The sequence below is a fragment of the Homo sapiens genome, chromosome 7 (assembly GCF_000001405.40).
Source record: "Homo sapiens chromosome 7, GRCh38.p14 Primary Assembly".
NCBI lineage: Eukaryota > Metazoa > Chordata > Mammalia > Primates > Hominidae > Homo > Homo sapiens.
The window spans coordinates 136,084,310-136,106,877 of NC_000007.14; the positions used below are offsets into that span (position 1 = coordinate 136,084,310).

Sequence of the window (22,568 nt, forward strand, 5' to 3'; positions counted from 1 at the left end):
TCTCCAAGTTGGCACATCAAATTGACCATCACAGACCCAGTGCATAATTCTTTTGTCTCTGTGACCTTCTCCCCACAGCTCTCACCCCTGCAGTACGCTTCTTTCCGTTGGGTTTCCTCCGCCTGTAAGTCACCTTTCTTGAAGGGGTATCTTCAAGAAGACCCAAGCCTGCCTAGCTTTCCTGGTGTCCTCCTGGCCATAGGAAACTCTCCTGTTTTTGTCTCACTGCACCGTTACCTCTTCTTTTCCATACCATTCTACTCCAGCCAGGTTCCAGCTTTCATCATTCTCCAGAGAAGACATCTCCATTTTCACATAAGCTCCCCAACTCTCAAGAAGACATGTCAAACTTCAAAGAACTTTTTTTACTATGTGCTCCCATGCTCTGATGGCAACATCTAAATAGGTTTACAAGTTTCTGAAGTTCAGCATGTGAAGGGGTCAATGGGGGAACTGAGATGCAGATCCCCTTTTCTTGAGGACACCTCTAATTTGGTTTCACAGAGCTGGGAGATGGTGCTCCCTCCTCTCCTCCACAAAGAGAAAAGCCACGGCACACTTCCTCACTGCGGCCCCCTCTAAAATCTTTCTCTATTCAACTAACGTTCTTTTGAGTTATTTTCCTTTATGTGATCTGGTTGCCATACAGAGGATGAAGCCCTCTTTTATAATATAAACCCTGAAGGGCATGTATGGCAGGTTCTTAATGTTCTCTTTGGAATTTGATGCTACATAGCTTCTAATATACTGAATTTTGGGACTCTAAACAACATTCTAAAACAATAGGAAAAGTCTTTCCAATATCATGATGTGATCATCATTGCTGTTTCTTTTATTTTTAATCTTTTTAAAATTTCACTTAACTTTTATAAATAGAGATTTGTATTTTAAAATATTCCAATGTGTGGAAATGTTTCTTGTAATAAAAGGGAATATTCCCTTTAATTTTTCTCATGCACCTATATTTGGTTTTTCCTCACTTAGTTTATGCTGTTTTTCTATCCCCTTGTGCTTTCTACTGTTTTCTGTCTTTGATTACATGTACTGAGTGATTATTTTGTTTTTTAAATCGTGGTTTTTAAAATTTTTTAAATTTAAGTTCCAGGATACATGTGGAGAACGTGCAGGTTTGTTACATAGGTACATGTGTGCCATGGTGGTTTGCTGCACCTATTGACCCATCTAAATTGTGTTTTAAAAATTAAATGATTTGCCTTTATTTGTGGTAGTGATTGCCTTTAATATTATCAAATATCTAATTAAACTTTCTCCCTTTATTGAAATCAAGAACAGAATTATAACTTCTTTTGTTTTTTTTCTTGGGACAGTTTCACTCTTATTGTCCAGGCTGGAGTACAATGGCATGATCTTGGCTCACTGCAGCCTCCGCCTCCTGGGTTCAAGTGATTCTCCTGCCTCAGCCTCCCGAGTAGCTGGGATTGCAGGCATCTGCTGCGATGCCTGGCTAATTTTTGTATTTTTAGTAGAGATAGGGTTTCGCCATGTTGACCAGGCTGGTCTTGAACTCCTGGCCTCCGGTGATCTGCCCGCCTCGGCCTCCCAAAGTGTTGAGATTATAGGCATGAGCCACCGTGCCTGGCTTGGAATTATAACCTCTGACTCCTTCCTTTGCCCAGCGAAGAATTTAGTCTGTCTCATGCTTTTAAGTTCCCATCCTTTCCCGTTGGGTCCTTTAAGGGCTGGTTAATTTAAATGGATATAACAAAGCCACATTTTTATTAAATATCATTTATTGTTTTAACCATGGAAATTATTTTTTAAGACTTATTGGTACTTTGGATTTTGAATTGAATTTTTCAAGCATTTTAACAAATTTTGTGCTTACTACCAGTATATTTATGTTATCATTTTTACTTTCTTGCATTTATAATTTTGATTCATCACTTGTTTACTTATATTGTTTTTGATTAAGCTTTCAGGAAGGCTATTGTTATACTTTCACAATTTCTGTATAGCTAGATAAATCTTTTTACTATTTTCACATCCAAATGAAGTTTTTCTGTATTTTAAATTCTTGAGTCAAAACAATAATTTCTCAAAATTCTGTAAACATTGTTTCATTGCACAGTGATGTTTAGTATTTCTAAGAAATCTAACGTAAGATGGACATTTTTCTGTTCGAAGGTTCCTCGTATATTTTCTCTTCCATTGACATTTAAAACTTTCACTGGGTTAGACCTAAGTGTAGGTCTTTTAAATTAGCTTTCTTAGAATTAATCTTTCTTTAAAAAAAATCTTCAGATTGGGCATTCTGATTTCAGAGAATTTTACTAATCCAGGGATTTTACCGATAGTATTCATTAAAATATTTTTGAATTTAAAGAGAACTCAAACTCAAGTTTGCTTAAACAACAAAGTGTTATGTTAGATAAAAAGCTGAATGGTGCAGAGACAGGAAGGTGTTTAGGTGTCACATACCCTAAATTCCTATTGTTATTAGGGCATCAATTCTCCTGGCTCTGCCCCTTCTAATCCTTTGTAAGCTTCATTCTCAGCATACTTTCCCTCACTTAAGTGATATGGTTGCCAGCAGTTTCCAGGGCTGCAGCCTTCTCTATTCATACCCAGGAGGAGAGACAGCGTCTGTTCTCACATTTGTTGAATAAAAGCTCTGTGTTTCACTCTGATTGGGTAATCGCAGGTCATATGCCCACTTGGAACCAATCACTATGAGACCGAGGCAGGGCTTAGACCAGTCAACTTGGTTTCACTTCTGTTCTCATCTCTGTTATGGTTTGTATTTCTTACATCTTTCTTTTTTGTTTTGGGAGACTTTCAAGTTTATCCTCTACTTGCTGAGTAGGTTTTTGTCAGTTTTGCTTTTTACTGCCTCTAATGTGAATTTTAATACAATTTCATTAAAACATATTGTATCTTAGTTTTTAGTCTTCTTCCCTTTATTTCTGCCTTTATTGCAATCTATTCTCTTCTGCTAGTCCCCTGTATTATTTTTTTTTCCTAAGAAACTGTCTTTTTGTATTTTGGGGGAGATTGTGAAGAAATTTTGAAAACATTCTGGGCTGTAGAACAATGTGAATGTCTTTAATGCCATTAAACTGTACACTTAAAAATGGTTAAAAATATTTATTTTATGTTAGGTATAATTTAACACAATAAAAATTCTTCTTTTATAGAAAATAATTCTCAATGTGTATTCTTCCTCCAGCTGTTCAGAATAATATTTCCTTTCCCTTGTAATAAAACATTTTATTAGTCCACATGTTTTGTTTATTTGCATGCATTTTTATTAACTTATCTCTAGCCTTAGCAGGATTTACCTAAGTTCGGTTTGCTAAAAGTCAAGGTATATGCAGTGATAGTAGTAACTTTTTGAGTAAATATGACTTTTCTTCTCTGGTCTAGACCTGGAATGGTTCACATGTTCAGAATCCCCAGGACAAATTCTAATTTTTGGTAGAAATTTAGTAGGATCTTTTATTCTTTTAATTCTTGTTTCCTTGTGTTTTACTTTATAGGATATGAGGCAGTATTTTGTCTTCTTTGCATATGCAAGTGTTATATATGAGAGATTATGCCCTTAGCATGTACTGCTTCTAGAAACTCTAACTTTACTTTACATCTATGAAGCGTTTCTGAAGGTGTCTACACATCCAGGATGAAATATGCTACAGCCAGTTTCCTCTACCTGTTGGCATGTTGGGAACTGAGATTTAGAGTTTTTCATACAAGTGAGAGAAAAGTGACTCTTAGAGGTGGTGGAAGCATAGAAGCACAGGAGGTCTGGACAGATAATAGTTCTTAGGCACTGTGTGTGTGTGTGTGTGTGTGTGTGTGTGTGTCTGTGTGTGTGTAAAGGGGCAAGAATTTACTGTTTGAGTTTCTGGTCATTATAGCTACTCTATATGAGTACATCTTTTTTTCTAAAAATTGATCCTGTCCTGGAGGTTCCTTTTCAGATATTTTAATTGATGCTAATAATTGATTCTGCAACTAGTGCAAATTGCCCTGGCTTTTGTCAAGTTTTCTCCAATGTCAGGAAACAACATCTTCCAACTGTTGAAGAGAACGACCTCCTGTTCTTTCTCGCTCTAAATTAAGAAAATCTGACCAACATGAATCAGGTGCTGTGCTGGTTATTAAGATAGCATCTCTCAGTTCCAAATAAATCTTCTCAAGTTGGCTTTGTGATGCTGGGTCTGGGACATTCTAACCTACATTCTTCTTCCCTCCTCTGCCATCTGGTTCTCTATTAGGCTGTACCCCTAGAGAGCCTCAGAAGAAGATGGAAAGGCAGGATGAAGGGGAGAAGGGCCCTCCTCTCTCCTGCTTGCTGGTCCATCAGCATCACCCTGTAGCATTTTGCCTCAGCAGGGGCAGTTGGTTCCAGCCTCCTGCTTCTTTTGGCACTCAGATCTGGAAACAGCTGTCAGTGCCCTTCGTTGGAGGTCTGAGCTGGGTCCCTGGGCTTCTCCTTCCTCAGAGGTCTGAACTGGGTCCCTGGGCTTCTCCTCTGAGCTCCCAGGTCTTAGTGATTGCAACCTTTTCTGTTTGTCCTATAGCCCTAAGGGTGGAAGATGTTTCCTGAGCTTTGTACCTCTGGTCTACCTCAGTGTTTTCATTTGTTCATTTTACCCTCTAATTCCAATGTTGAAATTGCATGTGTGGGTTCGTTTTCCTGTTGAATCCTAAGTGATGCTGGTGCTTAGTACTTACTGGACCTAGGGATCTGGGGCAAGAGAACAAATGGCAATTGCTCTGAGGACCATGAGGTGGGTATTGATGTAAGAATCCCACCCCACCCCCACACAAAAAAGAGGGGAAAGATCAAATATCTATTTCTACATGTATAGGAACAATATCTATTTCTACATGTAACAAAATAAGAGCAGTATTTTAGGGCAAATAAAAGGAAGTACCACTCTACACACCCCATAAGTACCACATATAACTTATGTCCTTAGTTTTGTAGAATGTATGGTTTCCAACTAAGTGAAGCTTTAGGGAATTAGAAGTGCAAAATATAGATAGTTGGCTTCTTTACAGCACTTTTCCACCAAACATCCTTTGGAACCCTTGTCAGAAGATGTTGCCTGAGTTAGCTCTCTTCTATCTCTCTTTTTGTAAATTAAAGTAAGATAAAAAAAACAGAAAGTGAGGTAGAAAGCAAAGTATTTTGACAAAATTTAAACATGTCAGATATTCAGATCAACCTGTACAGGAGAGTACCCTTAGCTGGGCAGAGCGCACAGCTCTAGGAACCTGCGCTGCTGGAGAGTGATCTCAAAGCCACCGTTCGGAGCCTGACCTTTTCCTATTTCTATCAGCTTTCTTCTGGTGTCTCTTTTCTGCCTCTTCCTCTTACTATTCTTTAACAGCTCCTGAAATCTAATCCTTATTTGGCACTGGGGTAAAAATAGATAGGCACTGATGAAGGGCTGCATCTTAGGAACGATAATTTGTCAGTCTTAGAAGAGCCTTGGCAAAATGGTGTGTTTTGTCCTCAGATCCACAGATGCAGGAACTTGATTGGGTTGGGGTCCCGGAATTGCTTGGCCTGACGGAGTCATACAAACCAAATTTCCAAAAGATTAATACAAAATTAAAAGATTAATGAGGGTTTAAATATACTCATTTACAATGGAAAATATACATCACTAAGCAATAATTACCATGCCTTTAAGTACTTATTTGTTGTTATTTCCCACATGCTGTAAAAGTCATCGTTGTAGGGAAGGACAGAAAGGATATAAGCTTATGCTTAAAAATAGTAAAAGGGCTCTCAAGACTTCACAAGCCTTAACAGAAAGGAGCCAAGATAAGATGAGGCTAACAATGTGAAATAATTGGTATAGTTCTATGGAATGCCACATATTTTTGCATCATATTTGTTAGCTTCTCTTACCTGGACTGCCCATTCGTGATTTTGTGCATTCATCTACTTCTCTCTGAAAAATACCTTACTGAATGAAATCAGCTAATACAACCAGAAGAAAAAAGTTGAAATGTCCAATTAATGTTAGGGGCTGAGGACAAGGGAACAATTCCTAGATTTCAATGTAATCAAGGCAAATACTGAAATGCTGATTAATATTTAGTGTGGGGATTTAAAATCCAATTGGCTTGTGCTTTTATTGGGGTTGGAATAGCCAGGCAGCTGTTTCTGAGCTCTTCCATACACTATAAATGCCAAGGAGTATGAATATCCAAGTATTGAACATTTATTGAGGTTTCCCTATTTGAAGAAGATAAAGAATAATATGCAGTCATCATATCCTTTAGAACAGAGGTTGGCATGCTGGAGTACAATGGCGTGATCTCAGCTCACTGCAACCTCCATCTCCCGGGTTCAAGAGATTCTCCTGCCTCAGCCTCCTGAGTAGCTGGGATTACCAGTGCCCACCACCATGCCTGGCTAATTTTGTATTTTTAGTAGAGACAGGGTTTCACCATGTTGGCCAGGCTGGTCTTGAACTCCTGACCTCAGGTGATACACCCACCTCGGCCTCCCAAAGTGCTAGGATTATGGGCATGAGCCAGCACGCCCAGCCTTGGCTGCCTGTTTTCGCAAATGAAGTTATACTGGAACACATCTGCAGGCATTTGTGTATGCATCATCTGAGGCTGCTTTCCTGATACAATGGCAGAGTTGAGTTGTCGACATAGGGACTATATGGCCCACAAAGTCTTAAATATTTACCATCTGGTTCTTTATAGAAACAAATTGCTGACTTCTGCTTTATAAGCTTTTAAGTTAGGGAACAATACTTACACATAGGAAACAATAACAAAGAAAACAACAGTAGATCAACAAGTACTAAATGGCTACACCAAGTTATAAATGCTACAGAACTGCAGAGAAAGGATCAGATTGCTCTTTGAGGAGGGCAAGTCTGGCAGCCTTTGGGAAGAGTGATTAGATGGGAGAGCAGGAACATCACCTCAAAGGCCATTGCGGTAGGATTGGAGGAAACCAGGGGCAACTTGTGTAGTAGCACAGTGTGGTATGTGGCCATGAGACATTTCAGATCAGTATTGGGAACCAATTACACCAGACCTACAGAGAATGAGTAGAATGCTTACAGTGTAATTACTTAGAGGAGGGTCAAGTTAGAATCTGGGGTACAGGTGAAAATTGGAAATGGTAAAGTCAGATGTCCAAATAGAAAGGTGGGGCGGTGTGAAAGCCATGTGGCAAGGATGTTTAAGTGTTGTTTAGAGCTGTGGTTTGAGCTGGATGGCAGAGGCAAGAGCCAGATCATGAAAGCCATTGTTATGGACGCTGAATTCAGTGGCACATGTGGAAGAACAAGGAAATGTGTGAAAGACAGGTGAGATTGTCACTAATGCTGTTAGTGAGATTGTTACTAATGCTGTTAATGAGATTGTTACTAATGTGAGACTGTTACTAATGCCCGCTCTCTTTTCCTTTTTAGGAGAAAGTGGGGGCAGTTTTAGAAAACCTGTCAGCTTGTGACTGCTGAAGCCAGTCAGAATCCAAGTAGAGCTTATTAACTACAGCAGAAGCCAGAACAAGGGACAGGTGTACTTGAGATGATCCTAAGTGGTGTATAAGAGGTGCCTGGTGGTGTACAAGAGGGCAGAATGGCAATTTTCGCAGGATAGACAAAGGCAATGTCCCAAATCTCCCACTGCAAATACTTAAAAGTACTAGATAAAACAGTTTTGAATACAGGATATTGGAGCTGTCCTTTACATGGGTAAAGGTGAGGATGGGGTTTTCTGTCTTAGTTACCTTGAGCCTGATTGAAATGTTGTGCTATACATAAGACCTTTGCATAAAGCTAAGTCCATCAAAGGACCATTGTCTTAAAGCAAGAAGTGACTAGAAAAGCAGTCCACCATTGCAGGGAGATGAAGAGGCAATTATGCCTCTTGGTCTGAGCTTTTGATAAAATATATATGTACATATCCAAAGAGGAACCTGTAACTCCGATTTATATCTCTCCCAAGTTTGGATTTCTAAACACTCTTTAGCATCCCAGAAATCCCTAACTGAAAAATAATTAAAGCTCATCACTGTGTATTGGTATCCCTGGGGTACCAGGCAGCAGCAAATGCAAAACCACTTTGAAAATACATTTCCATAAGCAGGCCCACAGATCTCTCATAGAAAAAATAAACCACTAGAATTATTATCATTATTATCTCACAATCAAAATCATAAATCATGTGGGAAAATAATCCATCATGAGAGAAAGAGAGAGCACATGTAGGGAGGTCGGAGACCTTGAACTCAGTGAAATCATCTGAATGAGAATACAAAGAAAAGGTTTGTAAGGATTAAAGAGGGAGAAAAATAACAGGGCACAAATAAGTAGCATAACCTTCTGAAAAAAAATTTAAAAATCTTTGAATAAGAACCAAATAGAACTTCCAGAAACAAAATTTTAACCAATAAAGTTAAAAACTCAATGGCTGATATGGCTTGGCTGTGCCTTCACCCAAATCTCAACTTGAATTGTGTCTCCCAGAATTCCCACATATTGTGGGAGGGACCCAGGGGGAGGTAATTGAATCACGGGGGGTGGTTTTTTCCTGTGCTATTCTCGTGATAGTGAGTAAGTCTCACAAGATCTGATGAGTTTATCAGAGGTTTCCACTTTTGCTTCTTCCTCATTCTGTCTTGCCGCCACAATGTAAGAATTGTCTCTCACCCTCTGCCATGTAAGAATTCTCTTTCACCCTCTGCCGTGATCGTGAGACCTTCCCCAGCCATGTGAAACTGTAAGTCCAATTAAACCTCTTTATTTTGTAAATTGCCCAGTCTGGGGTATGTTGGACTAATACAATGGCTTAAACATCGATTCAATATCACTGAAATTATTCCTATGTATCTGGAAGATAGGGCTGGGGAAATTATCCAGAATGCAGAGCAGAAAAGGGTAGAGGTAGAAAAATCTGAGGGATAAAGAAGCATATGGAATATAGTAAGAAAATACAGAATATCTGTTTTATCTTGGGTTGATAAACAAAGTTTCATAAACTGGGTGACTTACAAGCCACAGAAATGTATTTCTTACCATTTTGGAGGCTGGAAGTCCAAGATCAAAGTACCAGCATATCCAGTGTCTGGTGAGGGCCTGTCTCCTGGTTTGTAGAGGGCTGTCTCCTCATTGTATCTTCATCTGGTGGGGAGCAGAGAGGAAACAAACAAACCAGCCAAAAACCTCACGTCTTCTTATAAGGGCACTAATCCCATTTAAGAGGGCTCCATCCTCATGATCTAATTATCTCCAAAAGGCCCCACTTCCTAATACCATCAAATTGGGGGTTAGTATTTCAACATATGAATTTTGGGGGAACAAAGACATTCAGTTCATGACAATATCTAACAGGAATTCTAAAGTAAGAGATGAAATGTTTAAAGATTGGTTACAATTTTTCCAAAATTGGAAGATATGAAATCTTTATATTCAGTAGTGTAACTAGTCCTGAATAGAATGAACAGAAAATAAATTTATAAAGCAACACTGTGGATAGACTACGAGAGAGAAAATCTTACAAGCAGCCAGAGAGAAATAATAGGTTATCCTCAAAGAAACAAAATTTAGCACACAGAAGTTTTCTCAGAAGCACAGCTAGACATCAGAAGACAATGATATTTTTAATACTGGTGAGCGCAAAGAAATGGAACATAACAGAGGGTGATCAACCATGACATTTTGCTAGAAACTGTCCTGGTTTTAGCACTGAAAGTTCCAAGTCCTGGGAAATCCCTCAGTCCAAAGCAGATCATTGATCACCCTACACTGCTCTATGTGGTTAAGCTGTCATTAAAGAGTGAGAACAAAAAAAAAATGTTGTTAAAAAGTATGAGTGAAATAATGTTATCTGAAAAAAGGCTGAAAAAGTTCATCTCTTGTAGACTGTTGTTGTTTTTTTTTTCAGTTTCTTTTTTTTTTTATTATTATACTTTAAGTTTTAGGGTGCATGTGCACAATGTGCAGGTTAGTTACATATGTATACATGTGCCATGCTGGTGCACTGCACCCACTAACTCGTCATCTAGCATTAGGTATATCTCCCAATGCTATCCCTCCCCCCTCCCCCCACCCCACAACAGTCCCCAGAGTGTGATGTTCCCCTTCCTGTGTCCATGTGTTCTCATTCTTCAATTCCCACCTATGAGTGAGAATATGCGGTGTTTGGTTTTTTGTTCTTGCGATAGTTTACTGAGAATGATGATTTCCAATTTCATCCATGTCCCTACAAAGGACATGAACTCATCATTTTTTATGGCTGCATAGTATTCCATGGTGTATATGTGCCACATTTTCTTAATCCAGTCTATCATTGTTGGACATTTGGGTTGGTTCCAAGTCTTTGCTATTGTGAATAATGCCACAATAAACATACGTGTGCATGTGTCTTTATAGCAGCATGATTTCTAGTCCTTTGGGTATATACCCAGTAATGGAATGGCTGGGTCAAATGGTATTTCTAGTTCTAGATCCCTGAGGAATCGCCACACTGACTTCCACAATGGTTGAACTAGTTTACAGTCCCACCAACAGTGTAAAAGTGTTCCTATTTCTCCACATCCTCTCCAGCACCTGTTGTTTCCTGACTTTTTAATGATTGCCATTCTAACTGGTGTGAGATGGTATCTCATTGTGGTTTTGATTTGCATTTCTCTGATGGCCAGTGATGGTGAGCATTTTTTCATGTGTTTTTTGGCTGCATAAATGTCTTCTTCTGAGAAGTGTCTGTTCATGTCCTTCACCCACTTTTTGATGGGGTTGTTTTTTTCTTGTAAATTTGTTGGAGTTCATTGTAGATTCTGGATATTAGCCCTTTGTCAGATGAGTAGGTTGCGAAAATTTTCTCTCATTTTGTAGGTTGCCTGTTCACTCTGATGGTAGTTTCTTTTGCTGTGCAGAAGCTCTTTAGTTTAATTAGATCCCATTTGTCAATTTTGGCTTTTGTTGCCATTGCTTTTGGTGTTTTGGACATGAAGTCCTTGCCCATGCCTATGTCCTGAGTGGTAATGCCTAGGTTTTCTTCTAGGGTTTTGATGGTTTTAGGTCTAATATTTAAGTCTTTAATCCATCTTGAATTGATTTTTGTATAAGGTGTAAGGAAGGGATCCAGTTTCAGCTTTCTACATATGGCTAGCCAGTTTTCCCAGCACCATTTATTAAATAGGGAATCCTTTCCCTATTGCTTGTTTTTCTCAGGTTTGTCAAAGATCAGATAGTTGTAGATATGCGGCGTTATTTCTGAGGGCTCTGTTCTGTTCCATTGATCTATATCTCTGTTTTGGTACCAGTACCATGCTGTTTTGGTTACTGTAGCCTTGTAGTATAGTTTGAAGTCAGGTAGCGTGATGCCTCCAGCTTTGTTCTTTTGGCTTAGGATTGACTTGGCGATGCGAGCTCTTTTTTGGTTCCATATGAACTTTAAAGTAGTTTTTTCCAATTCTGTGAAGAAAGTCATTGGTAGCTTGATGGGGATGGCATTGAATCTGTAAATTACCTTGGGCAGTATGGCCATTTTCACGACATTGATTCTTCCTACCCATGAGCATGGAATGTTCTTCCATTTGTTTGTATCCTCTTTTATTTCCTTGAGCAGTGGTTTGTAGTTCTCCTTGAAGAGGTCCTTCACATCCCTTGTAAGTTGAATTCCTAGGTATTTTATTCTCTTTGAAGCAATTGTGAATGGGAGTTCACTCATGATTTGGCTCTCTGTTTGTCTGTTGTTGGTGTATAAGAATGCTTGTGATTTTTGTACATTGATTTTGTATCCTGAGACTTTGCTGAAGTTGCTTATCAACTTAAGGAGATTTTGGGCTGAGACAATGGGGTTTTCTAGATATACAATCATGTCATCTGCAAACAGGGACAATTTGACTTCCTCTTTTCCTAATTGAATACCCTTTATTTCCTTCTCCTGCCTAATTGCCCTGGCCAGAACTTCCAACACTAAGTTGAATAGGAGTGGTGAGAGAGGGCATCCCTGTCTTGTGCCAGTTTTCAAAGGGAATGCTTCCAGTTTTTGCCCATTCAGTATGATATTGGCTGTGGGTTTGTCATAGATAGCTCTTATTATTTTGAAATACGTCCCATCAATCCCTAATTTATAGAGAGTTTTTAGCATGAAGGGTTGTTGAATTTTGTCAAAGGCCTTTTCTGCATCAATTGAGATAATCATGTGGTTTTTGTCTTTGGTTCTGTTTATATGCTGGATTCCATTTATTGATCTGCATATATTGAACCAGCCTTGCATCCCAGGGATGAAGCCCACTTGATCATGGTGGATAAGCTTTTTGATGTGCTGCTGGATTTGGTTTGCCAGTATTTTATTGAGGATTTTTGCATCAATGTTCATCAAGGATATTGGTCTAAAATTCTCTTTTTTGGTTGTGTCTCTGCCCGGCTTTGGTATCAGGATGATGCTAGCCTCATAAAATGAGTTAGGGAGGATTCCCTCTTTTTCTATTGATTGGAATAGTTTCAGAAGGAATGGTACCAGTTCCTCCTTGCAACTCTGGTAGAATTCGGCTGTGAATCCATCTGGTCCTGGACACTTTTTGGTTGGTAAGCTATTGATTATTGCCACAATTTCAGCTCCTGTTATTGGTCTATTCAGCGATTCAACTTCTTCCTGGTTTAGTCTTGGGAGAGTGTATGTGTCGAGGAATTTATCCATGTCTTCTAGATTTTCTAGTTTATTTGCGTAGAGATGTTTGTAGTATTCTCTGATGGTAGTTTGTATTTCTGTGGGATCGGTGGCAATATCCCCTTTATCATTTTTTATTGTGTCTATTTGATTCTTCTCTTTTTCTTTATTAGTCTTGCTAGTGGTCTATCAATTTTGTTGATCCTTTCAAAAAACCAGCTCCTGGATTCATTAATTTTTTGAAGGGTTTTTTGTGTCTCTATTTCCTTCAGTTCTGCTCTGATTTTAGGTATTTCTTGCCTTCTGCTAGCTTTTGAATGTGTTTGCTCTTGCTTTTCTAGTTCTTTTAATTGTGATGTTAAGGTGTCAATTTGGGATCTTTCCTGCTTTCTCTTGTGGGCATTTAGTGCTATAGATTTCCCTCTACACACTGCTTTGAATGCGTCCCAGAGATTCTGGTATGTTGTGTCTTTGTTCTCGTTGGTTTCAAAGAACATCTTTATTTCTGCCTTCATTTCGTTATGTATCCAGTAGTCATTCAGGAGCAGGTTGTTCAGTTTCCATGTAGTTGAGTGGTTTTGAGTGAGATTCTTAATCCTGAGTTCTAGTTTGATTGCACTGTGGTCTGAGAGATAGTTTGTTATAATTTCTGTTCTTTTACATTTGCTGAGGAGAGCTTTACTTCCAAGTATGTGGTCAATTTTGGAATAGGTGTGGTGTGGTGCTGAAAAAAATGTATATTCTGTTGATTTGGGGTAGAGAGTTCTGTAGACGTCTATTAGGTCCACTTGGTGCAGAGCTGAGTTCAATTCCTGGGTATCCTTGTTGACTTTGTCTCGTTGATCTGTCTAATGTTGGCAGTGGGGTGTTAAAGTCTCCCATTACTAATGTGTGGGAGTCTAAGTCTCTTTGTAGGTCACTCAGGACTTGCTTTATGAATCTGGGTGCTCCTGTATTGGGTGCATATATATTTAGGATAGTTAGCTCTTCTTGTTGAATTGATCCCTTTACCATTATGTAATGGCCTTCTTTGTCTTTTTTGATCTTTGTTGGTTTAAAGTCTGTTTTATCAGAGACTAGGACTGCAACCCCCGCCTTTTTTTGTTTTCCATTTGCTTGGTAGATCTTCCTCCATCCTTTTATTTTGAGCCTATGTGTGTCTCTGCACGTGAGATGGGTTTCCTGAATACAGCACACTGATGGGTCTTGACTCTTTATCCAATTTGCCAGTCTGTGTCTTTTAATTGGAGCATTTAGTCCATTTACATTTAAAGTTAATATTGTTATGTGTGAATTTGATCCTGTCATTATGATGTTAGCTGGTTATTTTGCTCGTTAGTTGATGCAGTTTCTTCCTAGTCTCGATGGTGTTTACATTTTGGCATGATTTTGCAGCGGCTGGTACTGGTTGTTCCTTTCCATGTTTAGCGCTTCTTTCAGGCGCTCTTTTAGGGCTTATTCTTTTTTCTCTAAACTTCCCTTCTCACTTCATTTCATTCATTTCATCTTCCATTGCTGATACCCTTTCTTCCAGTTGATCGCATCGGCTCCTGAGGCTTCTGCATTCTTCAAGTAGTTCTCGAGCCTTGGTTTTCAGCTCCATCAGCTCCTTTAAGCACTTCTCTGTATTGGTTATTCTAGTTATACATTCTTCTAAATTTTTTTCAAAGTTTTCAACTTCTTTGCCTCCCGTAGCTCGGAGTAATTTGATCATCTGAAGCCTTCTTCTCTCAGCTTGTCAAAGTCATTCTCCGTCCAGCTTTGTTCCATTGCTAGTGAGGAGCTGCGTTCCTTTGGAGGAGGAGAGGCGCTCTGCTTTTTAGAGTTTCCAGTTTTTCTGCTCTGTTTTTTCCCTATCTTTGTGGTTTTATCTACTTTTGGTCTTTGATGATGGTGATGTACAGATGGGTTTTTGGTGTGGACGTCCTTTCTGTTTGTTAGTTTTCCTTCTAACAGACAGGACCCTCAGCTGCAGGTCTGTTGGAGTACCCGGCCCTGTGAGGTGTCAGTCTGCCCCTGCTGGGGGGTGCCTCCCAGTTAGGCTGCTCGGGGGTCAGGGGTCAGGGACCCACTTGAGGAGGCAGTCTGCCCATTCTCAGATCTACAGCTGCTTGCTGGGAGAACCACTGCTCTCTTCAAAGCTGTCAGACAGGGACATTTAAGTCTGCAGAGGTTACTGCTGTCTTTTTGTTTGTCTGTGCCCTGCCCCCAGAGGTGGAGCCTACAGAGGCAGGCAGGCCTCCTTGAGCTGTGGTGGGCTCCACCCAGTTCAAGCTTCCCGGCTGCTTTGTTTACCTAAGGAAGCCTGGGCAATGGCGGGCGCCCCTCCCCCAGCCTCGCTGCCGCCTTGCAGTTTGACCTCAGACTGCTGTGCTAGCAGTTAGCGAGACTGTGGGCGTAGGACCCTCCGAGCCAGGTGCGGGATATAATCTCCTGGTGCGCCGTTTTTTAAGCCCGTCAGAAAAGCGCAGTATTCGGGTGGGAGTGACCCAATTTTCCAGGTGCCATCTGTCACCCCTTTCTTTGACTAGGAAAGAGAACTCCCTGACCCCTTGCATTTCCCAAGTGAGGCAATGCCTCTCCCTGCTTCGGCTCGCAGGTGGTGCGTGCACCCACTGACCTGCGCCCACTGTCTGGCACTCCCTAGTGAGATGAACCCGGTACCTTAGATGGAAATGCAGAAATCACCCGTCTTCTGCGTCGCTCACTCTGGGAGCTGCAGACTGGAGCTGTTCCTATTCAGCCATCTTGGCTCCTCCTAAGTGTCGACTGTTGTTGAAAGGACTACTGAAGAATATAGTTTAGGAAAAACAAAATCAATCTAGATGGAAGGAATTGGATATAATAGGCAATGGGGAACAAAACAGGTAAAATGTTGATTAGTATAAAGAAGTATTGACTATACAAAATAATAATTATAACAACTAGCAATTTTAGAGCTATAAAAAGGAAAAAAAGGAGAGAAAAACCAACTGACAACAATAACATTTAAGACACTGGGGTGTGCAGATATAGTGGTGCCAGTAATTATCATTTCCAAGTGCATGAAATGATAGGGATGGAGATAGGACTATTGGCTAAGTGTATACTTTAAATATGCATGTTAAAAATTCTGGTGTCCCTTCTACTTCCCCCTCTCTTTCTGAACAATTCAGTTTTAAAGCCATTAGGGCAAGATATAGGCATCTGTGCTGGGGTGGGCGGGTGCTAGCCATGGTGGCCCAGAGTGGGGCAATGGAGTCCAAGCCGAGTGAGGAGGATGTTCATGTAGGGGTACACCTGGTGCAGGTGTCAGAGCAAGAATGGAGTAAGAAAGGTATTTGCACAGGAGGCCTGCCCAGCACAGGGTGTCAGAAGCTAAGAGGGGTCAATCAAGCATCCACACAATGGGTGACATAGTGCAGGGTGGTGAAGCCAATAGGTGAGGAGGGTGTCCATGCAGTACTGTGTGAGGGAGGCATCTCCATAGGGCTGCCTGGTATGGGGTATCAGAGCCCAGGCCTGAAGAGGAGGAAGTCCAGGTGACAGGGGTGGCTGCTTGGCATGGTGGGTGGGGTTGAGTGGGGTGAGAAGAGTGACCATATGGGAGAGAGGAGTGCAGGAGAGATTGGAAGTTGGTTACAGATGGGGATGTTTTTCAAATAAGTAAGTATATTAAGAATAATTGGGAGCCAGATATCTCATGGTCAGAGAGGGAGAGTTACAAAGTGTAAGGGGATAAAACTGTAATGGTTGGATTGAAATTGGTGGTATCTGTGTAAACTTGGAATTCTCAATATAGATAGGCAGGTATAGGAATAAATATAAATTTAAGTGTACGTATATACATGTATTTATGTATATGCATACATATCCATACAAGCATATATGTGTTTCTTAGTTTACGCCACTGATTGTTTGGGAGCCAAATAAAGGACAATTTGAACATCATATTGAGCATCACTATCACAGCAAATAGTGCTATGGTCTGAATGTTGGTGTACCCCCCTCAATTCCTATGTTGAAACTTAATTTCCAATGTGATAGTATTAAGAGGTGGAGCCCATTGGGAAATGATTAAATCATGAGGACTCCTCCCTCATGTATGGGATTAGTGTCCTTATAAAAGAGATTGAAGGGGGCATGTTTGCCCTTTTTGCCATTGAAAAAAAAAAAACTCAGCAGGAAGGCGCCATCTATGAGGAGTGGGCTCTCATCAGACACCGAATCCGCTAGCACCTTGATCTTGGTTTTCCCAGCCTCCAGAACTGTAAATTTCTGTTGTTTGTACATTGCTTAGTCTAAAGTACTCTGTTACAGCAGCTGAATGGACTAAGACAATTTGTAACATTTTAGAACCCACTGAGTGTGTACTAATATACATTACCAAATAAATAAAGTGACATTCTGATGAGCAATGGGAAATTTACATAATTTCAAAATCCTCACAAAATACTCTTTTTTTTTTTTTTTTTTTTTTTTGAGACGGAGTCTCACTCTGTCGCCCAGGCTGGAGTGCAGTGGCGCAATCTCAGCTGACTGCAAGCTCCGCCTCCGAGGTTCACGCCATTCTCCTGCCTCAGCCTCCAGAGTAGCTGGGACTACAGCTGCCCGCCACCACGCCCGGCTAATTTTTTGTATTTTTAGTTGAGACGGGGTTTCACTGTGTTAGCCAAGATATTCTCCATCTCCTGACCTCGTGATCCGCCTGCCTCGGCCTCCTAAAGTGCTGGGATTACAGGCGTGAGCCACCGCGCCCGGCCTCAAATTCTCATTAATTCTAAAACAGAAAAGAGAAACTTTGCAGTGGAGTGGCCCGGTAGACATACACTGCATCAAGTGAGCATCATCAGTGTTGGGACGAATCAAAGATAACAGCCTCACTTCTATGACATTTCTGCCAAATATATGCATACTCGTGGGGAGATATCAGACAATCCCAAATCAAGGGGCGTATTATGACATAACTATTCTTTAATCAACACAGTTGTCAAGTTTGTGAAAGTCAAGGCCAGACAGAGGAACCATTCCAGATTAAAAGAGAATAAAAAGACATAACAACAAAATGAAACACATAATTCTGAATTAGATCCTTTTCTGATGAAGGCAGCTATTAGAGCAAATGGCAAGACTTGTACAGATCTGGGGATTAGGATATAAATGTCAATTTCTTGATTTTGGTCATTGTATGAGGTTTTGTAGAATTATCCTTTTTTTGGGCAAGAAACATATGCTGAATTATTGAAGGGTGGGTGGATTACGGGCATCATTTTGGCAATTTATCTCAAATGATTCTGGAAAAAATGTTCTTTATATTATACTTGCAACTTTGCTGTAAATTTCAGATTGTTACAATATAAAATATATGTTCTCCAAAATTATTTTTTTTCCGGCAACACTGTGGACTAGATGTCCCAAGAAAACCCTCTTAGTGTAAGATACTTAAAATGCAGAATATAAAACAAAAGGAAACAACTTCTTAAAAGCATGGCTGAGCAGGAAGTATAAAAGGGAAACAGAGACCAGAATGTCAAGAAGGCATGATTCCCCAGGAGTAAGTGAGCTCTGGATCTCTAGTTTGCCCTAAGATTACCTTGTGCCCTAGACCCTTGGCTTTCCATGTCCATGCAAGGAAAGAAAACAAAGATAGCTTAGTGCCCAGAAAGGTAAGAGGTCTGATTAGAGACTTGAACCTGCTAAGGGTGAAAGAAAACTTCCCCACAGAATGAGACTGGCATGCTTTGGTTTTAGCTAAGTGTACAATGGAACAGTCCTTGAAAAAAAAAAAATTCCCAAGAATTCTTAATCACCACCTATAGGTTTGAGGCTGGGATTCACAGCATCTGTGTGATCTGAAAAACTCCAAGCTGAACATTGAATTGAGAGTGATCCTGGTTGAAGTGTTATGTCTTAAGCCAGGTTTTGTAAAATATAGAACCTGAAGCAAGGATTTAAAGAGCTGAGACTTTATTTGGGAAGTGCAACCCAGGGCAGCTGGAATGAGGGAGAGGGAGCTGAGGTAGGGGAGGAGGGAAGCCATGCAGTGAACTCTCACTGCTCTGCCCACTACCCCATGGTGAAGGTGGCAAGCCCCAGCAGGTGCTCAGCATGTCAGATGCCTCCAGTTAGGCTGTGCAGAGTAGCTGACTCAGAGCAGTTAAAGGGAAGGAGGAAGGGACAAAGATCTATGCACCTGGCTCCTCCCTAGACCCACTTCCTATTGGTCAAAATTAGCCTATGGGAAGGTGACTCCACCACACTTCCAGATTAAGTCATCTGGCCCCCTCAGCAGCTGTTTGGGATGCTGGGCCTGTGCTCTACATTGTAGTATTTCCTTTACATCTGGAAGTGGTGGGAAAAGCCAGAAGCTCTACATGTGTGGCTGACGGTCTATGCCATGTGACAGTAATGAAAGGGAGGCCCTGGCACACAGCAGGCAAGTACTGGTCCAGCCCTAGATGTGGCAGCATGGTCCAGGAGGCAGACAAGGGAATCTGAGAAGGTACGAACAATCTGGGTCACATACAGTCTCCTCCTGTCAACCACTCCAATCTAATCATGCTCTCATTTCAGGTTCTGTTACTATAATAAGGAGTCTTCCTTTTTATTTTCATGAGAACAGGGCATGCTAATTTCTTTTCAGAGAGGAGAGGAGTAAGCCCAGTTAGATACAGAGTTCTCTTCAAACTGGTATCCCATTGTGATGCCTGGGAGGATACAAGGCATGAGTAATAGTCCAGCTACTGTGATGGGTCTTGATGTTGTATTTTATATTCTCCATCTTTGCTTCACCTCCACCACCACTCCTTGTGGATTCCCCTTGTGCTTGGTCAGCAATTAAGCTGGTTTGGATTGCTTGCCTAATGTATGGGTCCAGACTTTCATGTGAACTTTTAGCTGTTCTGCCCTTCTTGGGTTGTGGTTTGTAGCGGATAGCGTTGGTGTCCTCTCTAGGTAACCTCAGCATTCACCTCTACTTTCTGAAGGCTGCATACTGTGAACATCTGCATGCTCTATGTCTGAAGGCTTTTTTCTTTGGATGCAGGCAAAGAACAAGCTAGAGTATTAGACAGTGAATCCCCTGGAAGCAGCCCTGAACCACTGGTGGACCTGGAGATGATGTAGAATTACCCACCTTCCTCACCTTTGGGCTTATTATGTTCACACTGACTGCCAGAGTTGCCCAGCAGGAGTGAGCTCCAGTTGCCTACAGTGATAAATTAGTTGATAATACTGGCTTTCTCCACCTCCTACCTTGCTGCTCACTTCCCTATTGAAGTTTTCTGGGCTTATTCCCAAATAAACTAATTGCACTCAGATCCTTGTCAGGGTTAGTTCCTGCTTTACCCAAGTTCAGACACATTTGCTATAATTGCTCCTGAATAGTTAATACTAGGCTTTGTAGCACTATGAGACACCCCAGTGAATCCCCAGCATTCAGACCTACTCATTCCTGCTCCCTTGTGGAGTGCAGCCCTAGTTCCTCATGGGTGTCAGTATCAATGACCACCAACTTTACAGTGACTCATTTGCCTGCTGAACACTAAAGAGTTCGTTGGCAACATTGTAGCTGCAGCTTTCAGCTCAGTGCAGCTCTTACTGACTCTACTCCCCCTCTCTAAGAAAGCCAATACCTGTAACCCTTCAGAGTCCAAATTTGGAGGCCAAATTCCTCAAATGGGTTATCGGGTGTAATTACGAGAGGGCTGCTTCTTTTTTCTTTTTTCTGAGACGGTGTCTCACTCTGTCACCCAGGCTGGAGTGCAGTGACATGATCTCGGCTCACTGAAACCTCCACCTCCCAGGTTCAAGTGATTCTCCTGCCTCAGCCTCCCGAGTCGCTGGGATTACAGGCACCTACCATCACGCCCAGCTAATTTTTGTAGCGACAGGGTTTCTCCATGTTGGCCAGGCTGGTCTAGAACCCTTGACCTCAAATGATTCGCCCGCTTCGGCCTCCCAAAGTGCTGGGATTACAGGCGTGAGCCACCGTGGAGGGCTGTTTTTAATTTCCACCCTTTGGTTACTGGATTGGACTGGTTTTCTTGTGATGAGCGACTAAAATGTATTGGACTTTTGGTTTAATTCTAGCCACTGGAAACTAGGATATATAATTTGTTAACTCAATGCATATGTTTCATTCTGTTTTTGAGAAATAGATTCGGGGGGTACATGTGTAGGTTTGTCATATGGGCATATTGTGTAATGCTGGGGTTTGGAATTCTATTGAATCTATCACTCAGATAGTGAACATAGTACTCAATAGGTGGTTTTGGACTCCTTTTGGAGTCTCCAGTGTCTATTTTTTCCATCTTTATATCCACGTGTACCCTTTGTTTAACCCTCATCTGTAATAAGGTGGTATCTGATTTTCTGTTTCTGCATTAATTCATTTAGACTAATGGCCTCCAGCTGCATCCAGGTTACTGTGAAGGAAGTGATTTCATTCTTTTTTATGGCTGTGTAGTATTTCACAGTGTATATGTACCACATTTTCTTTATCCAGGCCATCTTTGATGGACACTTAGGTAGATTCCTTGACTTTGCTATTGTGAAATGCTGCAGTAAACATGCAAGTGCTCTTTTTGGTAAAACTTCTTTTCCTTTGGGTATGTACCCAGTAGTGGGGTTTCTGGATTGAATGGTGGTTCTATTTTTATGTGTCTTTGAGAAATCTGCACACTGTTTTCCATAGGGGTTGAACTAATTTACATTTCCACCAACATCCTCAATAAAATTTGTTATTTTTTGACTGTTTAATAATAGCCATTCTGACTGGTCTGGATGGTATGTCATAGTGGTTGTAATTTGCATTTCTCTGATTAATGATGTTGAGCATTTCTTCATATGTTTGTTGGCTGCCATGTATGTCTTCTTTTGAGAAATGTCTGTTCATGTCCTTTGCCCACTTTTTAGTGTTTTTTTTTCTTGTTGATTTATTTAAGTTCCTTATAGATTCTGAATATTAGGCCTTTGTCAGAAGCATAGTTTGCCAATATTTTCTCCCCTTTGGTATGTGTACTGTTTACTCTGTTGATAGTTTCTTTAGCTGTGCAGAAGTTATTTAGTTTAATTAGGTTCCATTTGTTAATTTTTGTTTTCATTGCATTTGCTTTTGAGGACTTAGTCATAAATTATTTGCCTAGGCCAATGTCTAGGAGAATTTTTCCTAGGTTTTCTTTTAGGAATTTTATAGTTTGAGGTCTTACATTTAAGTCTGTAATTTATTTTGAGTTAATTTTTGTGTATGGTGAGAGGTAGGGGTACAGTTTCATCTTTCTGTATGTGGCTAGCCAGTTTTCCCAGCACCATTTATAAAATAGGGTGTCCTTTCCACATAGTTTATTGTTGTTGGTTTTGTCAAAGATCAGTTGGTTGCAGCGTGTATGGCTTTGTTTCTGGATTCTCTAATCTGTTCCATTGGTCTGTGTGTCTTTTTGTACCAGTACCATGCTATTTTGGTTGCTGTATCCTTGTAGTATAGTTTAAAGTTGGGTAATGTGATGCCTCCGACTTTGTTCTTTTGCTTAGGATTGCTTTGACTATTCAGGCTCTTTTTTTGGTTCCATATGAATTTTAGAATAGGTCTTTCTAATTCTGTAAAAAATGACATTGGTAATTTGATAGGAATTACATTGAATCTGTAGATTGCTCTGGGTAGTATGGTCATTTTAACAATGTTCTTCCAATCAATGAGCATGGAATGTTTTTCCATTTGATTGTGTCACGTATGGTTTATTTCATCAGTGTTTTCTAGTTCTCCACATAGAGATCTTTCACCTCTGTGGTAAAATGTATTACTAGGTATTTTATTCTTTTTGTGGCTATTGTAAATGAACATGTGTTCTTAATCTTCTCAACTTGAACATGATTGGTGTACAGAAATGCTAGTCATTTTTTACATAGATTTTGTATCCTGAAACTTTACTGAAGTTGTTTATCAGGCCTAGTAGTCTTTTGGAGGA

General features: G+C 40.5%; 1 long non-coding RNA gene across 13 annotated transcripts in view, besides 1 other annotated feature; it reads left to right on the forward strand.

The window, feature by feature from the left end:
* Positions 1–22,568, forward strand: part of LOC105375523 (uncharacterized) — a 459,019-nt gene that overhangs the window by 103,363 nt on the left and 333,088 nt on the right. For 9 of the 13 annotated variants that reach the window (NR_187960.1, NR_187957.1, NR_187964.1 and 6 more), the window contains exon 1: positions 8,616–8,727. The exons of the other annotated variants lie outside the window; for them this stretch is intronic. This is a non-coding gene — a long non-coding RNA (uncharacterized LOC105375523). Of the gene's footprint in view, positions 1–8,615; positions 8,728–22,568 lie in introns of those variants that run through there. 13 annotated transcript variants of the gene reach the window in all.
* Positions 2,566–2,635: a silencer, noted in NCBI's record as "silent region_18682". NCBI's record gives its function as "represses an Ori minimal core promoter by ATAC-STARR-seq in GM12878 lymphoblastoid cells {active_cell/tissue: GM12878}" and the evidence as "EXISTENCE:reporter gene assay evidence [ECO:0000049][PMID:35858748]".